This window comes from Homo sapiens, chromosome 16 (genome assembly GCF_000001405.40).
Source record: "Homo sapiens chromosome 16, GRCh38.p14 Primary Assembly".
Lineage (NCBI taxonomy): Eukaryota > Metazoa > Chordata > Mammalia > Primates > Hominidae > Homo > Homo sapiens.
The window spans coordinates 4,520,678-4,537,254 of NC_000016.10; the positions used below are offsets into that span (position 1 = coordinate 4,520,678).

Here is a 16,577-nt window from a genome sequence, read left to right on the forward strand (position 1 = left end):
TATTGTTAACGCTAATCATCATTTGAAAGCTTGAATTTCATCACTGGCAACAAAGCACTAACAAATATAGAAACAGCAACATATACAAAAATAAAAGGTCAGTTGTTTCCCTTGAAGTAGCAAGTTCACTTTGCTCATTTTCAAGAAAGTGTATGCTAAATATCCAAATCTGAATAACCACGGTGTGTGCCAGTTGTTCTTTAAGTGAAGATGGAGTCCATGAAAAAGGCAGCTAGTTCGGCCCACACTTCAAATGAATGCACGTGTGCTTTTCCTCACGACAGCATCAAACTCCATTTGACATACTTCATGTGTGCCTCATTTCGTCACAAAGGATCTTAAAAAGCTGTGGACTCATGGGTCAGGACTTAATAAAGTTGATTTTTACTGCTTTTTCTGATGCAACACTGGTGTGTGTGTGTGTGTGTGTGTACTGTGTGTGTGGTGGTGAAGACTCAATTACAACAAGACCAGCACAGTGTGGTGCCAGTCTTGAGTCAGTGCAGGCCCCACAGCTTGTTTCCGCACTGCTCCTACACCATCAATGTGAAAGCCATCACAAACAAAGAGGCATGGTAACAAATCATGGCCGTGTTATTATTAAAACAGTTCTGATCCTAGCCCCCCGAGTGGTCTCAGGAAGCCCCCAGGAGACTGCAGATCACATTTCAAGAACTGCTGTGCTAGAGGAACCCCCACTAGAAGTTAAGGGGTGCGTATCAGCCAAGTGCAGGGCTGGGACAGGACTTCACAACCAGAAGGATCAAGAGTGGCCTGCAAGTCTTGGAGTCGCTCCTGGGGAGGCCCTGAGTTTGTTGTTCTGGCAAGGCCCCACCCCAGGGATGTGCTTGCCACCCGGTGGAAGGCTTTAAATGAAACAAGCAGTCAAGAACATGGGCTCTGGGCCAGGTGTGGTGGCTCAGGCCTGTAATTCCAGCACTCGGGGAGGCCGAGACGGGAGGATTACTTGAGCCCAGGAGTTCGAAACCAGCCTGGACAACATGGCAAGACGTCATCAATATTAAAAAAAAAAAAAAAAAAAAAAGGCGGGGGGGCCCGCTCTGCATCAGCTTAATTCAAACCCAGACCCCCAAGACCCACCACTTTCCAGCTGAGCGAGCTGAGCCTCGGTTTCTTCCTCTGTAAACAGAGATGATCATGCCTACCTCTCAGGGTGGGAGTGAGGTTGAAGAGAGACTGTGTGTGAAACGCCTGCAGCAGAAACGCTGGGCCTAGCACACAATGACGCTAAATAAATGGAAACTGCTATTATTATGCTTTATTAGGCAACTTCCAACAGGGAGGAAAACAACAGGTATTGACGCCTCTGCCATGGAGTGCCTTCTGATTCCCAACGAGGGGTCCTGGTGCATGTTCACTAATATGACTACAAGGGGATGCCTCTACCGGATTCTGGAGGGACTTGCAATCAAAACCCTCCCTAAGAACTCAGCTCAGCAGCGTTCCCTCACAGCACAGCTCAGCTGGGCCACCTGCTCCACGGTAACCCGAGACAACTCTTTGAGAAGGCAGAGACACTAGCAGTCCTCCAAGGGCCATCTCTCCTGGTGGGCTGTGGAAATGCCAGGGGCCTGCCTGGGAGTGCCCAAGGTTGGCAATGCCCCTGGAAGGATGCTCCACCAATACACCCTGGTGGCAGGGGCTCTGCAGCAGCTGCTGCCCAGACACATTTCTCAGAGCTGGGCTGGCTTGGTGCTGCATCCCCAGGAGGTGCTTACCCACGTGGCAGCCATGGCGTCAGGACGCCAGCTGGCCTCAGAGGGGCTCCTCTGTCCCCAGGAGGCAGGTCCCAGGCATCCAGCCAGGAACAGGGCTTTCTGCTTTGCTGGGAAAACTGAAAGGCCGATTTCTGCCTTGCCTGCAGCTTCCATGTGCTGAATAAAGGAGGTGCCCACTGCTCCATGAGGGGCAGAGCCGAGGTAAAAGACAAACACTCTCTGTGCTTCTTGGGTCTGAAAAGAGAATGGCAAGGCCCAAACCAGGTCTGGAGGAAAAGGCCAAAGCAAGAAGTGAGCCAGAAGCAAGCAGGAGCTCACGTGGGCCTCAGGGAAGATGCTCTCAGTCCAGATAGCAGCACCCTGCAGGGACAGGGCAGCGGGAAAAGGAGAGCACAGAATCCCCACCAAGGGTGCAGGCCTGAAGGGGACCCTTCCAGGGAGGCTTGGCCCACACTAGGCCTTTCCATCCTGTGACATCTCCATCCAACACACAGACGGATTAGTTCAAACCCACCTTGGAGGGCGGTGTGAGAATTAAGTAAGGCATGGATATAAAAACTTACTGAACCACTGTAACGGGCCATGCAGCGTGAGGGTCATTAGGAGGGGGACTGTTACTTGCAAGGGATGGCCGCTGACCACGTAGCTGTTCCGCCTATTCTCCCAAGCACCCCAGGGCTGGGCTGAAGCACAGTCTGTGAGGTGACCACGTAACAGAGGCCCTCTAAGGGGAGGGCGGGGGATGGTGCTTCCTTCTGATAGTTACTCAGCACATCCTCCGTGCCAGATACAGGCTGGGGATTAAAGACACGTCCCTGGCTGGGCGCAGTGGCTCACGCCTGTAATCCCAGCACTTTGGGAGGCTGAGGAGGGCGGATTACGAGGTCCAGAGATCGAGACCATCCTGGCCAACACGGTGAAACCCCGTCTCTACTAAAAATACAAAGATTAGCTGGGCGTGGTGGCACGTGCCTGTAATCCCAGCTACTTAGGAGGCTGAGGTAGGAGAATCACTTGAACCCAGGAGGCGGAGGTTGTAGTGAGCCAAGATCGCGCCACTGCACTCTAACCTGGCGACAGAGCGGGACTCCATCTCAAAGAAAGAAAAAAAAAGACATGTCCCTGCCTTCCAGAAGCTTACGGTCAAGTGAAGAGGATGAGCGTTAAATAATCACCCCCCTCGCCAAAAAACCACAAACACAATTACATCTGTGACCAGTGGTATCGAGAAAGTCCAGGGCACAGTAGAAGGACAGCAAGATCGCCGTTCTGGAGCTCTAACACCATCTCTTCAAGCAAACCTGGGAGGAGGTGGCGGAAGAGTTAATGAGACCAGCAGGCAAAGGGAGGGATGGGGACAGCAGAGGGAACAGTGAGTACACAAGGCCTAAGGAAGGAGGGATGTGCCCCTGAGGGTGGCCAGATGGCAGCCTGGGGCCCTCACAGCGACCCAGCCACAGGGTTTGTTCCAGAGCTCAAATACCTCAGATCTCCAGGACAAGGATGACAAGGCCAGCTGGACAGTGTCCCAGGCCCTTCTCCTCAGGCTTTAGGCTTCCCCAGGAGACCTCCGGCACCATTCAGCCTTGTTGCATTGTGGCACTTGGAAACAAAGACAGCGGTCTTCTTTGCTTGACTGTCAATAGAATATTGGGAGAGCACAGGTCTCCCTGGGACCCTGCCTCGCCGCTGATGGCCTGCAGCCCTAGACAAATTCCTCAACCTCTCTGAGCCTCAGTTTCCCCACGTGCAAAATGAGGTTCTTGGAAGGCTGAACAAAATCCCACATGTAGATGTCCAGGCTGTATTGCTGGAGACGCCTTCCATGAATTACTACGCAGATACCACCACCCATACAGAGCTGTGCTGTGCTCCTCCACATCACACTGCAAAGGAAGAAGGCAGAATAACAAGATCTCAAACAGCAATGTTCCGCCTAATGAAGTACAGACTGGAGATTGCCAGCTGCACCCAAATCCACTCTCTCCCCCATTCTTGAATACAGAACTCCACTTTCACTCAGGGCAAGTCCATCAACCAAGAGGGTCCCCGAGCTTTCTTAGAGTGACAAAGCTTTGGCTAATGAGCTGTAAGCAGAAGTGTCCAGACCATAAGAAGGCATTCAGGGCAAGCCGACTCAGCCCGGAGCCAGGCCCTTCATCTTTCCTGCCTTCCTCCCATCTACCACCTGGAAGATAGATGCCATGGCTCCAGTAGCTGTGCTTCACCATGAGGGCCTTGGGATGGAGGCCAGTGCCTAGGACAGCCATGGGACACCACACCAGCAACTAACTGACCACCTCCCACATCTTCCACATGAGTAATAAAACTTGGTTTACTGGTTAATTATTGGTAAATTATTTTCAGGTTAAGTATTAACAAGTGTCATTACAAATATACAGCACAGACAGGTGCAGTGGCTCACACCTGTAATTCCAGCACTTTGGATGCCAAGGTGGGAGGACTGCTTAAAGCTAGGAGTTCAAGACCAGCCTGGGCAACATAACAAGATCCCATCTCTACAAAAAAATAAAATTAGCCAGGTATGGTGATAGACACCTGTGGTCCCAGCTACTTGGGAGGCTGAGGCGGGAGGATTGTTCTAGCCCAGGGATTCTAGGCTACAAAGAGCTATGTCACGCCAATGCACTCTAGCCTGGGCAACAGAGTGAGACTCTATCCCCCCTCCACCACAAAAATATATCTCTACAGTTCCTTAGGTCTGAAGGAACACAAGTTCTCTTCAAGTGATCCATGATCAAAAGGATCATGGCTTTCTTTAGGTCACATGACACAGCCTCAGCCAGTACAGAGGCCAAGGCATGGGGAATACTCCCTGGCGGGAAGGCTGGAGCAGATGCTTCCGTAGTTAAAACAGGCCCCGAGAGAAGTGCAGCTGGTTGCCTTGGAGCGAGGACACATTCTTCTGCAACTCCAGTGCTCATTTCAGCATGAGCACTGGCTCAAGGAGGAGCTGAGGAGGACGATGGCGTGCAGTGAACGTTAATAGAGCATGCACTGTTTGGATGCAGGTGCCCAGCACAGGGACATGAAGGAAGTGCTCCAAGTGAGGAGGTGCTCAAAAGGGAGCCCCTGCTGTGAGACTGCTCCTGGGCCCCAAACCCTCTCCACTCCCCTCTCCACCATGCCCTATCCAAACCTGGGGCTAATCCAGCCACCCAAGTCCATGTGGGACCAGGCCAGGATTCCCTGTGGCCTTTCGCAGCTGACCAGAGGGACCCTATTCCCAACGCTGGGTGATGAGCAGGAAAGAGGAGGCCCTCCACAAAGGTCCACTCAGTTGCAGAGCAGCCTCTAGTGAGGCTGAGCCCTCCCAAGACTCAGGGAGGTTGCCAATGTGTCCCCTTCTCTGGGACCGTTGTCCTCGGCTGCCAAGTTCTAGCACAGGCAGGCCTGGAAAATCCTGAACATGGCCCATTTCCCATTGTCCTGATGGAGGCAGGACGAGACAGTCCCTCCCTCAGATAACATCGCGGGTGGCTCTGAACCATTTATTTATTTTTACACTTGAAGATGGGTGTATCTGATGCCTTGGGAATTCTAAACACTTCAAAACAAGCTCAACTTAAGTCACAGAAAGGACCAGAAAACAGATCTGGTTTTCCCATCTGCCAGCTCTCCTCCCACCCAACCCTACATGCTCCTCCTCGACCATGATGAGTCTCAGCGGAAATAAGACACCAGCCTAGCCAGGCACGGTGGCTCATGCCTGTAATTACGGCACTTTGGGAGGCAGAGGTGGGCGGATCACGAGGGCAGAAGTTCAAGACCAGGCTGGCCAACATGGTGAAACTCTGTTTGTACAAAAAATACAAAAATTAGCTGGGCATGATGGCATCCGCCTGTAATCCCAGCTACTCGGGAGGCTGAGGCAGGAGAATTACTTGAACCCAGGAGGCGGAGGTTGCAGTGAGCCGAGATCACACCGTCGCACTCCAGCCCGGGCAATAGTCTGAGAATCTGTCTCAAAATATAAAAAATAGCTGGTCACGGTGGCTCACACCTGTAATCCCAGCACTTTGGGAGGCCAAGGCAGGCGGATCACAGATCAGGAGATTGAGGCCATCCTGGCTAACATGGTGAAAACCTGTCTCTACTAAAAATACAAAAAAATTAGCCAGGCATGATGGCGGGCGCCTGCAGTCCCATCTACTCAGGAGGCTGAGGCAGGAGAATGGTGCAAACCCGGGAGGCGGAGCTTGCAGTGAGCTGAGATCGCGCCACTACACTCCAGCCTGGGCAACAGAGTGAGACTCCATCTCAAAAAAAAAAAGATAAATAAAAATAAAATAAAAAATAAAATAAAAATAAAATTAAAAATAAAATAAAAAAGACATCAGCCCAACCCCATGGCCCCAAACACCACTGCGCCCTCCAACAGAAGCATGAGCCCTGTGTCGCAGGCAGAGCTGCAGGGGCAGAATCTTGCACCGAGTGGGGCACAGGCATCAGGCCCCACGCCCACCACCCTGCCCTGCCACCTGACTCTCCAGTCTCAGATTTTTTTTCATCTGTGATATGGCGGTAGGAGCAGCCCCTTATCAAGAATTGTGATGAGTCACGGGAGAGGCCATGGGTGAAGAGCACACCACTGAAGGCCTGCCACAGGAGCCTGAGAGAGGAAGTACACGAGAAAAAAGAAGACACTGTTACTTTTTTTTTTTTTTTTAGACGGAGTCTCGCACTGTCGCCCAGGCTGGAGTGCAGTGGCGGGATCTTGGCTCACTGCAAGCTCCGCCTCCTGGGTTCACACCATTCTCCTGCCTCAGCCTCCCGAGTAGCTGGGACTACAGGCGCCCGCCAACACGCCTGGGTAATTTTTTGTATTTTTAGTAGAGACGGGGTTTCACCGTGTTAGCCAGGGTGGTCTTGATCTCATGATCTCGTGATCCACCTGCCTCGGCCTCCCAAAGTGCTGCGATTACAGGCAAGTGCCACCGCACCCGGTGACACTGTTGCTCTTAAGCAGAAGCAAAATCAAAAGGCAGACAGGACTCAAAGAATGGTTCTAAACCTAAAAGTACTAAGGCCTCTAGGAACTATGATGATGACAATTACTGTGCAATTTATATCATGCTGAATTTTAGTAAAACCTCCTGGCAAACCACTCTCACTTGGTGACACTCCGTCCACAGCACGGGGCCACAGCATAGTGGATCAGTACAACTTTCCTGGACAGCCTTGCTACCTGTACACTCTTATGGACTCAATTCCACTTCAATGTATTCGTTCTAGAGGTAAATGGACATGTGAACACAGATTCACAGGCAAAGATGTTTATATGCACCACTGTCTTGATGTTCAAGAAAATGGAACTGGTTACATGCATGTGATTAGCTATATAATGTAACTGTATTCAGCCCCTAAAAAATGATATAGTTTTGTTTTTGTTTTTTGAGATGGAGTCTCGCTCTTGTTGCCCAGGCTGGAATGCAATGGTGCAGTCTAGGCTCACTGCGACCTCCGCCTCCCGGGTTCAAGTAATTCTTCTGCCTCAGCCTCCTGAATAACAAGGATTACACGCACCCGCCACTAAGCCTGGCTAATTTTTGTATTTTAGTAGAGATGGGGTTTCACCATGTTGGCCAGGCTGGTGTCGAACTCTTGACCTCAGGTGATTTTGCCCACCTTGGCCTCTCAAAGTGCTGGAATTACAAGCATGAGCCACCATGCCTGGCCAATGATATAGATTTTTATTGACATAGAAAAATGGTTTTAATATAGCAGTGAGTGAAGAATAAAAAAGCAGTAGCACAGTGTGATTCTTCTTTAGATGTATTTACATACGTAACACATTTTTTGTCTTTGTTTTTTCCTTTTTGTGGAGAACAGCGTCCTGATATATTGCCCAGGCAGGTCTCGAACTCCTGAGCTCAAGCTATCCTCCAGCCTCTGCCTCGCTAAGAGCTGGGATTACAGGCGTGAGCCACTGCACTCTTCCATAACACATATTAACAGTTTTTCTGGGCAGTAGGAGTTTAGGGGATTTGTTTATATGTAAGTACACATACAGAAACGTTCTACTGATGTGGAGTTTCTAGTTTTTTAATGGTAGGCAGCACCTTTACATGACTCCTTCCTCAAAATGCTCATTATAAGTCAGACACAGTGGCTCACGCCTATAATCCCAGTTACTTGGGGGGCTGAAGAGGGAGGAACACTCAACCCAGGAGGTGGAGGCTGCAGTAAGCCATGATTGCACCGCTGCACTCTAGCATGGACAACAGTGGGGAAGAACCCTGTCTCAAAAAAAAAAAAAAAAAAAAAAAGGCTGGCCGCGGTGGCTCACACCTATAATCCCAGCACTTTGGGAGGCTGAGGCACGCAGATCACCTGAGGTCAGGAGTTCGAGACCAGCCTGGCCAACATGGTGAAACCCCATCTCTACTAAAAATACAAAAATTAGCCAGGCGTGGTGGCGCATGCCTGTAATTCCAGCTACTTGGGAGGCTGAGGCAAAAGAATTACTTGAACCCAGGAGGCAGAGGTTGCAGTAAGCTGAGGTCGCATCATTGTACTCCAGGCCGGGCAACAAGAGCGAAACTCCATCTCAAAAAAATATATATATACTACTCCTCATACTCCTCAATCCAGAAACACACCTCAGACTATAATCTAATTTCACCTACAGGAGAAAATGCTCTGCAGAGCAAGCCAGAGGCCTGGACTGGTTAGTGGCCTCCTCTCCAAAGCCAGCCCCTTATGGCCATAGGTCTCCCATGAGTTTGGTCAAATGAGTCAGTTCTGCCAGATCACCTCCCGGTACTCCAGGCAAATGGAAAGTTTAGATCTGTAAAGTTGGAATGTAATGACCTCACAGTCCTGCTAGCCTAGGAGACCCCGCCAGGAGACCCAGCAGGAGGTCACCTGACCAAAGAGGGCTGGTAAGAAAGTCCCCGTTGGATGCATAATAAAAACGAGTGATAGAGCCCATGCTGAGGACACAGCCCCGGCCTCCCAACTCGCCCAGTGATCTCGCCAGGACTCTGAACTACCTCCCAGGCAGAACGCTGCTCAAGAGCTTGTTCCTGCATGCTCTCCTGCTAGCAGAGAAAATGAAGGAAGCACAGACAGGAGGGGAAATGCAGAGCAAAAGGAAAAAATCAGACACAGCTCAACCACAAGTGAATAAACAAGTCATCTGCACCTGTCCCACAGGCAGGCCTTGGTAACTACAAGGCTGACTAATTTTAGAAACAGCATGAACCTAAAGAACCATCATTTAAGTGCTCAAAATGGAGCCCTTAAAAAAAATCCTTCTGTCTGCCTGTACTGAGCAGACACAAAATGGACAGTCTTGGGTTGACTCTATTCAACCAGCTGTCTGTTGGATGAGATCAAGACACACCACTGCAACCTACAAAAAAGCACCAGGCCGTTAAGTGCAGTCAAGACACGTGGCCACTCACGGCCACCCAGGTGGAAGAGTCTTAATTCAGACACAAATGTCTCCTGGCCGTCCTTAGCCAGGGAGCTGGGCTCTGCCCGCGGCCAGGTCTTGCCTGAGTCCCCCTATTCCGTGGGTCGGGGTGGGATGTGGAAAAGCAAACCTCTAGGCTTTCTTCCTCCAAATGTGTCAGTCACCATACATACCTGTACACAGAAGCTCCCCCTCCAGCAATTTTCCCTCAGAACAGTGAGGACAGTGGCTCATCCCTGCGACATTTAGATCTCTCATGTTACAGGGCATTCTTTCAATTATTTTGAAGACATTTCTGATGGGTGAAGAAAGCGCTCTAGGAACTGAGAGTGGGAATCTAATTTGTATTTTACACTACATTAGATGCAACAGTATATAGCATATGGAAATTAGTTAACTGAGTTTCTATCACTCTTAGTTGGCATCTGACCCTAAGAATTCACTTACATTGGTTGGGTGTGAAACAAACTGAATTAGTAGTTTACACTGCATTATATGAAACAGTATATAGACTGGGTGCAGTGGCTCACGCCTGTAATCCCAGCACTTTGGGAGGCTGAGGCAGTCGGATCACTTGAGGTCGGGAGTTCGAAACCAGCCCGACCAACATGGAGAAACCCCATCTCTACTAGAAATACAAAATTAGCCGGGCGTGGTGGCACATGCCTGTAATCCCAGCTACTCGGGAGGCTGAGGCAGGAGAATCACTTGAACCCACGAGGTGGAGCTTGCAGTGAGCCGAGATTGCGCCAGTACACTCCAGCCTGGGCGACAGAGTGAGACTCCATCTCAAAAAAAAAAAACAAAAACAAAAAAAACAGAAATAGTATACAGTAGGCCAGGCACTGTGGCTCAGGACTGTAATCTCAGCACTTTGGGAAGTCAAGGCAGGAGGATCACTTGAGACCAGGAGTTCAAAGCTGCAGTGAACTGAGTGCGCCACTGAACTCCACCTGGGCAACAAAGCAAGACTCTGCCTCAAAAAAAAAGAAAGAAATAGTATATAGAAGTTTATTAGGTTGGTACAAAAGTAATTGCAGTTTTTGCCTAAGTTCCTGTAACTCTAAGTCAACATCTGGCCCTGAGTTCACTCATGCTGGCTGGGACAGAAGACTTATTCTGGAAGCTTGGGAAAACAGGAGCTCACGTCATGATTGGGACTGCCATCTGCTTGGCCATGTATATATTTCTCTATGACTCAGACATCAGAGACCAGGCTGGAGTGCAGTGGCGTGATCTCGGCTCATTGCAACCTCCACCTCCCAGGTTCACGCAATTCTCATGCCTCAGCCTCCCAAGTAGCTGGGACTACAGGCGCCTGCCACCACACCCAGCTAGTTTTTTGTATTTTTAGTACAGATGGGGTTTCACCGTGTTAGCCAGGATGGTCTCGATCTCCCGACCTCGTGATCCGCCTACCTCGGCCTCCCAAAGTGCTGGGATTACAGGTGTGAGGCACTGTGCCCGGCCTTTTTTTTTTGTATTTTTAGAGACGGGGTTTCGCCATGTTTGCCATGGTCTCAAACTCCTGACCTCAAGTGATCCTTCTGCCTCAGCCTCCCAAAGTGCTAAGATTATAGGTGTGAGTGTCTGCTCCTGGCCAGAGAACACCTTTTGGAGGTTGCAAGGCCATCAGAGATGACTGGGTCCAAGTCTAAGCTGCCATTCATTTCTGTCTTAAATGTTTACTAAGCACCCATGGAAGACAGGTGCCCTGTGAAGTGCTGGAGATGACGGTGGGCGAGCAAGCAGTGGCACAGAGTGGGGAGCAGTCTCCGAGGAGAGAAGTGGCTGCCCCGGGCACCCCAGCTGCCTGGAGATGACAGAGCCAAGACAGGACCTCAGCTGTCCTGACTCTCTCCTTCCACATCACTGTCAGCCCTGTTTCTTTTCTCACACATTCTCCAGAAATGGTTTTCAAAATACACTTGAGTGGGATCTCACACTCCCAATAAAGTGCTTCACACAGTGTAGCTCACACAGTGCAGTTCCTTCACATGCGTTCCATTTACATAGATTTCATGGTACCCAGGACAAAAAGCTGAAGTGGCAGTGCCCGGTCCCCTGCTTTCCCTGGGGAGGGAAATGGGACACAGAACGTGCTGTTTCCTCAGGCCCCGCTGGGCCTCTAGCAGGGGGAGTGCCTCTGAGCTAATAGGCAATTCAAGGACTTTAGAGGACAGTTTGACTTATGAGGTCTTTGCTCTGCTAGTTGACTTTAGAACCTAACCCACTGAATGTGTACTGAAGAATTCAACACAGCATGCAAATCAGCACCCCCAACACTCAGGCAATGACGGAGCACATGAAGACCACGGTCCCTGCGTCTTGGCTCTTAGGAAGATGAGACGGCTGAAATGCAGGCATGGTGTATCATTTTATTCAACCAATAAGTATGGACCACACACTATGCGTGAGGCATTTCCTAGGCACTGAAGATGGCAGATCAACGTCTGTCTTAATGGCAGGCAGCTTCAGTGGGGGGCTGAGTAGAGGGCATAAAATACAGAAATAAAACATCGGGCCTGGCACAGAACAAAGCGTGGCATGGAAGAAGGAAGAACAAGGAAGTGGTTGCCACAGGGCTGCAGTTGTCACCAGGGATAGCTCCACTGAGCAGGGAACACTCCGTGTTGGAGGATGGGTGAGCCGGGTCCTCTGGCCACAGCAGGATGCCCACTTTTACCCTGATAAGCCGAGAGGCTTGCAGAGAGCTTGGGAAATCATTTCGCCCCACGACTCTCCATTTTCCGCACTCACCTGCCATGCTAATCCAGTTCTCCAAAGTTCTGACATCAAGTAGGTGGCTCCTAGAGCTGGGGAGCCTGAGAGCACTCGGCTACCACCTCCAGCAGGTATAGTTCCTTTTTGGCCAATTTTACTGGGGCCACAGAGAAATGCGTCATGGTGTGGCCACTGTCCCTGCAAAGCAGCTAAACACACACCACAGAACCTGAGCTTGACCATGCTGGGGACAGAAACTAAGGCCTGAGGTCAGGTGACACAAAATGCCTGGGGAATCTGAGATCTGAGAAGTGCTCACTTGAGGCCTTCTCCCCTGAACAGGGCAGGACTCTTCAGGTTCAAGGATGAGGCCGTTTCACTCAGCAGAGCCATCACCATCCAAGTTCCTCTCTTTTTTGTTTAAGTGACTACCTGTTTGAAAAGACTCATCAGACCCTCCATGGAGGTCACTCACCTCATGGTCCCTGCCCTCAGGGAGCTGCAGATCTACCTGGCAAGACAAGTGACACTTGAGAAGAACTTATAAAAAATACACAGGCAAGCCCAGCAGGAGCTGTCGCCTCTGTGACAGCAGGTGCTCCAGCAGAGAAAAGGTGAGGCCTGTCATGGGCTTCACAGCCCTGCAGGGAGGTGGCCAGGGAATTCTGGGTCTAGGGCAATGGAGTCACTCATAACATGCAGAATTAGAAAGTTGTGATCAAGGCCATCTCCCAGTCAGACCCATAGCTCCTGCAGGGCAGGGTCAGACCTTGGGGCCAGTTTCTCCAGGGCACCGGGCAGCCTGTGAAACATGGGTTAGTGGGTGGATGGGCTGCAGCTTGGCTGCTGCTCTAGGCAGGAACTCTGCTCTCCAGCCAGAGGACCCTTCTGTTCACTTCACTCCCATTGCCAAACTGGATGGCTGAGAGGCGCTCCAGACCTTTCTCGTCTCCTTAAACCATGACCAGTCAGCAAGTCCTACTAACTCCATGGTTCAAAGGCCCTCAGATCCACTATCTCATCTAACAGTCAAGGGTGACAGGGAAGAGTCTGGACTTGGACCATATCCCAGATCTACCACCGGATCGTAACTCACACTCCTCCAAACTATCTCATCCCCCCACCCTTCCCAAGCCCACCCCCGTACTCTTTCCCTGGCCTCCAAACACGCCCACACCCCACTTCCCTGCAAACCTGGGCCTTCCTGAGGATTCTGCTGCCAGGGGATTCTCTGTCCCTTGTCTTATCTCCCCTCAAGAATCCTGGGACTCTCCCACTTGTATTGTTGGGCCCTGCTTGGTGCCTAGTCCATGTGTGTTGAAGAAATGAGTGCACAGGTTTGGGGTTGACCTAAGTGGACCTCCTGTGCCATTCTTTTTTGTTTGTTTTGAAACAGTCTCACTCTGTCACCCAGGCTGGAGTCCATTGGTGCGATCTCGGCTAGCTGCAACCCCCAACTCCCGAGTTCAAGCAATTCTCCTGCCTCAGCCTCCTGAGTAGCTGGAATTACAGGCACCTGCCCCCACACCTGGTTAATTTTTGTATTTTTAGTAGAGGCGGGGTTTCACCATGTTGGCCAGGCTGGTCTCGAACTCCTGACCTCAAATGATCCACCCACCTCAGCCTCCCAAAGTGCTGGGAATACAGCCATGAGCCACCGCACCCAGCCCCTTCTGTGCCATTCTTAACCCAAAGGCCACTGCCCAGGGTGAGAACACAGCCGCAGCCGAGAGAGACTCCACTGCGTCCTCAGGAAAGTACTTACGTTCACAGCCAAATATCCAGACAGGAAAAAACACCATTTCTTGAATTCCAGTCAACTCCGTGATGCAGTGATCACAATGGGGCTGGGAGAGCCCACGTCTCCCTCAGCTGCTCTTCCGCCACCCCTGCTGTTTCAGGGCCAGCCATGGGCCCTTCTCTGCCATTACTTGGCAACCATGGGCAAGTCACTTAGACACTCTGGCTGCTGCCTCAGCTGGCCAAGTCCCACTGTGCTGCTACCTCCCTGGCTGACAGGTGAGAACAACGCATGTTCATAGGGCGGTACACTGCAAAGAACCCCATTTCCTCCTGCTTCCCCAGCCTGTGAGGCCGCTGTTTGCATGGTTTTTTTTTTTTTTTTTTTTTTTGGTTTTTGTTTGTTTGATTTTTTGAGATAGAGTCTTGCTCTGTCACCCAGGCTGGAGTGCAGTGGTACAATCTCGACTCACTGCAACCTCCACCTGCCAGGTTCAACTGATTCTCCTGTCTCAGCCTCCGGAGTAGCTGGGATTACAGGCATGCACCACCACACCCGGCTAATTTTGTATTTTTAGTAGAGACGGGGTTTCTCCATGTTGGTCAGGCTGGTCTCAAATTCCCAACCTCAGGTGATCCGCCCCCGTTGGCCTCCTAAAGTGCTGGGATTACAGGCATGAGCCACAGCACCCGGCCTGCATGTTAATCAGAATTGTGACAACCAAGCTCGCTTTCTTCCTGAAGTAATACGGGTTGAAATTCTCCCTAAACCCTCCCAAGGCAGCTCTCGCACTCTTCTCTACCTACTTCCACCTTTCTTGGCCTCTTTTCCTTCTTGGGGGAAAAACCCAGACACTGGGACTAGATCTGAATTCAGACTTAATTAGCATTGATTGAACAATTACATCTCAGGAAGACCCTCAGTGTTTACTGAACCCCCATTACACCTCCTTGCAGTAAGAATCGATGGTACTGAATCACTCAATGTACAGACCAAGCCAGGTCTCACCCACAAATCAGGAGCACTGAAAAGGTGACAAGAAATGTTTCCTGGAAAAATGGTCCAGTATTACCAAAAATGCATCACAACTGCTTTCAAGGAAAGAATCAGAATGCTCCTGGACCCCCTCACCCTGCACTGCAGGCTCTGTATTGGTTTTGCTTTGTCTGCCGTCAGGGACCCTTCATCTCTTCAGCGCTAACAGCAGATGCAGGCCTTCCTGTGGCCTGGGTGATGCTCTTCACCTATCACAGACGCGGCCAGCAAGGCCTGTCTGTCACACAGCTTCAACATGACAGAGAGGTCTCCACGTCTAGGCAGCCCTGGTCCCAGGACACCACCAATGTCATGGACCACTGCCTGATGACTCACAGAGTAGGAGAAGTGGTGACCGGGGCCATCAGGCCCACGGGTTCAGGAGCCACCAGACCAGTGTCTCCAAGAGTGGACAGCCCTCTGGGCATGGGGAGGTTCTGGCCCAGGCCCTAGGCGCCTCCACCTCTGCTGCACTGTATTGCAAGGTAGCCTTTACCACCTCCCACAGAGACTGTGGCTTGGAGACTCCTGACTAGGCAGAGACAGAAACAGAAACTTTTTGTGGGATCCTAGAAAGGGGCACATTTCCATTTTGAGTAATCTATTTCCAAGTCCCCTCGTGGGGGAAAGGGAACCTCCTGTCACCACTGCCGGCCTGGCTCTCTCTCTCCATCCTCCCCATGGAGCGCCAAGGTCCTCTGCAGAGCTCTCCCTGCCTGCCACCTTCTCACCAGCACTTCCTCCACCTACAGGACAGTGACATGCTATAAAATGCCACAACTTTAACTACCATATTTCCCTGTGTCTTCTATGAGTAAAAACATGTCCTTACCCTTGGAACCATGTTCCTCAAAGTGGAGACAAATTTTCACAGGGCCTATCTTTTCTCTCCCACTCAGGCAACTGAGTAGGGTGAAGGGCTGGTGTTTGTGGCTAAGGAACAAAGTACCTGGGCCCAAGGGTCTCAAAGCCACGGCCTCTAGTCCATCAACACCATGAGCTAAATTGCACTACACACCCCAGTTCCCCTAGACCTTAGAAAACACACACTGAACTGGTAGGTTCAACCTGGACAAGCTTACAGTGTAAAGAGCCGACAGGGAGTTGCAAGCTGATGACTAGCTTCAATTATTGCCAACGTGATCTGCTGGGGCAAGCTGGCCTTCGGGACGCATTCCGTTAGCTCCTTCTCAAAACAATTTTGTTCCCTGAAGTATTACTTTACATCATACAGTCAATGTTCTGCTCTTATGGTGATTCTAGAACCACGGCTGGCTGCTCTTAAATCCTTGTAAGAACTTGGGCACGGTAGCTCCTGCCTGTAATCCCAGCACTTTGGGAGGGTGAGGCAAGAGGATCACTTGAGCCCAGGAGTTAGAGACCAGCTGGGCAAAATAATGACATGCCATCTCTACAAAAAAAAAAAAAAAAAAAAATTAGCCGGGCATGGTGGGGCATGCCTGTAGTTCCAGGTACTCAGGAGGATCGCTGGAGACAAGGAGTTCAAGGCTGCAGTGAACGTCGTGACGGCACCGCTGCACTCCAGCCTGGGCCACAGAGCAAGACCCTGGCTCTAAATAAATAAATGAACCTTTGTAAGAGAACCTGTAAAGCTCTTCCCTGGTTCTCCCATCCTGTGGAAAACCTCCGAACTCCTTCAAATTCTCAAGGGTGAGAGACGGATTTCTAAATACCCAGGGCTTCCATTAAGGTAAAAACCATTAAGAAGATAAAAAAGTCAAACCCAATAAACAACAATTCTAAGACTCTAATTAATGACATGCATGCTTATTTGGGAGGGAAAGGCACTGATATCTGCAACTTACTTTGACACAAAAAACAAGAGGGACTGCTGGTTGGACAAATATGTGATGAAATACAATAAAGTGTTAACTCT

The 16,577-nt window shown here is 50.5% G+C and overlaps 1 protein-coding gene across 6 annotated transcripts in view, besides 4 other annotated features; it reads right to left on the reverse strand.

Moving 5' to 3' along the window:
• The window catches only part of CDIP1 (cell death inducing p53 target 1), a 28,105-nt gene that overhangs the window by 10,009 nt on the left and 1,519 nt on the right, over positions 1–16,577 (reverse strand). For 2 of the 6 annotated variants that reach the window (XM_047434044.1, XM_047434043.1), the window contains exon 2: positions 3,223–3,375. The exons of the other annotated variants lie outside the window; for them this stretch is intronic. The gene's annotated coding sequence lies outside the window, so the exon portion shown is untranslated. The remainder of the gene's footprint in view (positions 1–3,222; positions 3,376–16,577) is intronic. 6 annotated transcript variants of the gene reach the window in all.
• Positions 1,231–2,095: an enhancer, noted in NCBI's record as "H3K27ac-H3K4me1 hESC enhancer chr16:4571909-4572773 (GRCh37/hg19 assembly coordinates)". NCBI's record gives its function as "activates a minimal SCP1, AML or CMV promoter by ChIP-STARR-seq in naive H9 embryonic stem cells {active_cell/tissue: H9 hESC(naive)}" and the evidence as "EXISTENCE:reporter gene assay evidence [ECO:0000049][PMID:30033119]".
• Positions 8,402–9,054: an enhancer, noted in NCBI's record as "NANOG-H3K27ac-H3K4me1 hESC enhancer chr16:4579080-4579732 (GRCh37/hg19 assembly coordinates)". NCBI's record gives its function as "activates a minimal SCP1, AML or CMV promoter by ChIP-STARR-seq in naive and primed H9 embryonic stem cells {active_cell/tissue: H9 hESC(naive and primed)}" and the evidence as "EXISTENCE:reporter gene assay evidence [ECO:0000049][PMID:30033119]".
• Positions 9,055–9,706: an enhancer, noted in NCBI's record as "H3K27ac-H3K4me1 hESC enhancer chr16:4579733-4580384 (GRCh37/hg19 assembly coordinates)". NCBI's record gives its function as "activates a minimal SCP1, AML or CMV promoter by ChIP-STARR-seq in primed H9 embryonic stem cells {active_cell/tissue: H9 hESC(primed)}" and the evidence as "EXISTENCE:reporter gene assay evidence [ECO:0000049][PMID:30033119]".
• Positions 15,327–15,436: an enhancer, noted in NCBI's record as "active region_10340". NCBI's record gives its function as "activates an Ori minimal core promoter by ATAC-STARR-seq in GM12878 lymphoblastoid cells {active_cell/tissue: GM12878}" and the evidence as "EXISTENCE:reporter gene assay evidence [ECO:0000049][PMID:35858748]".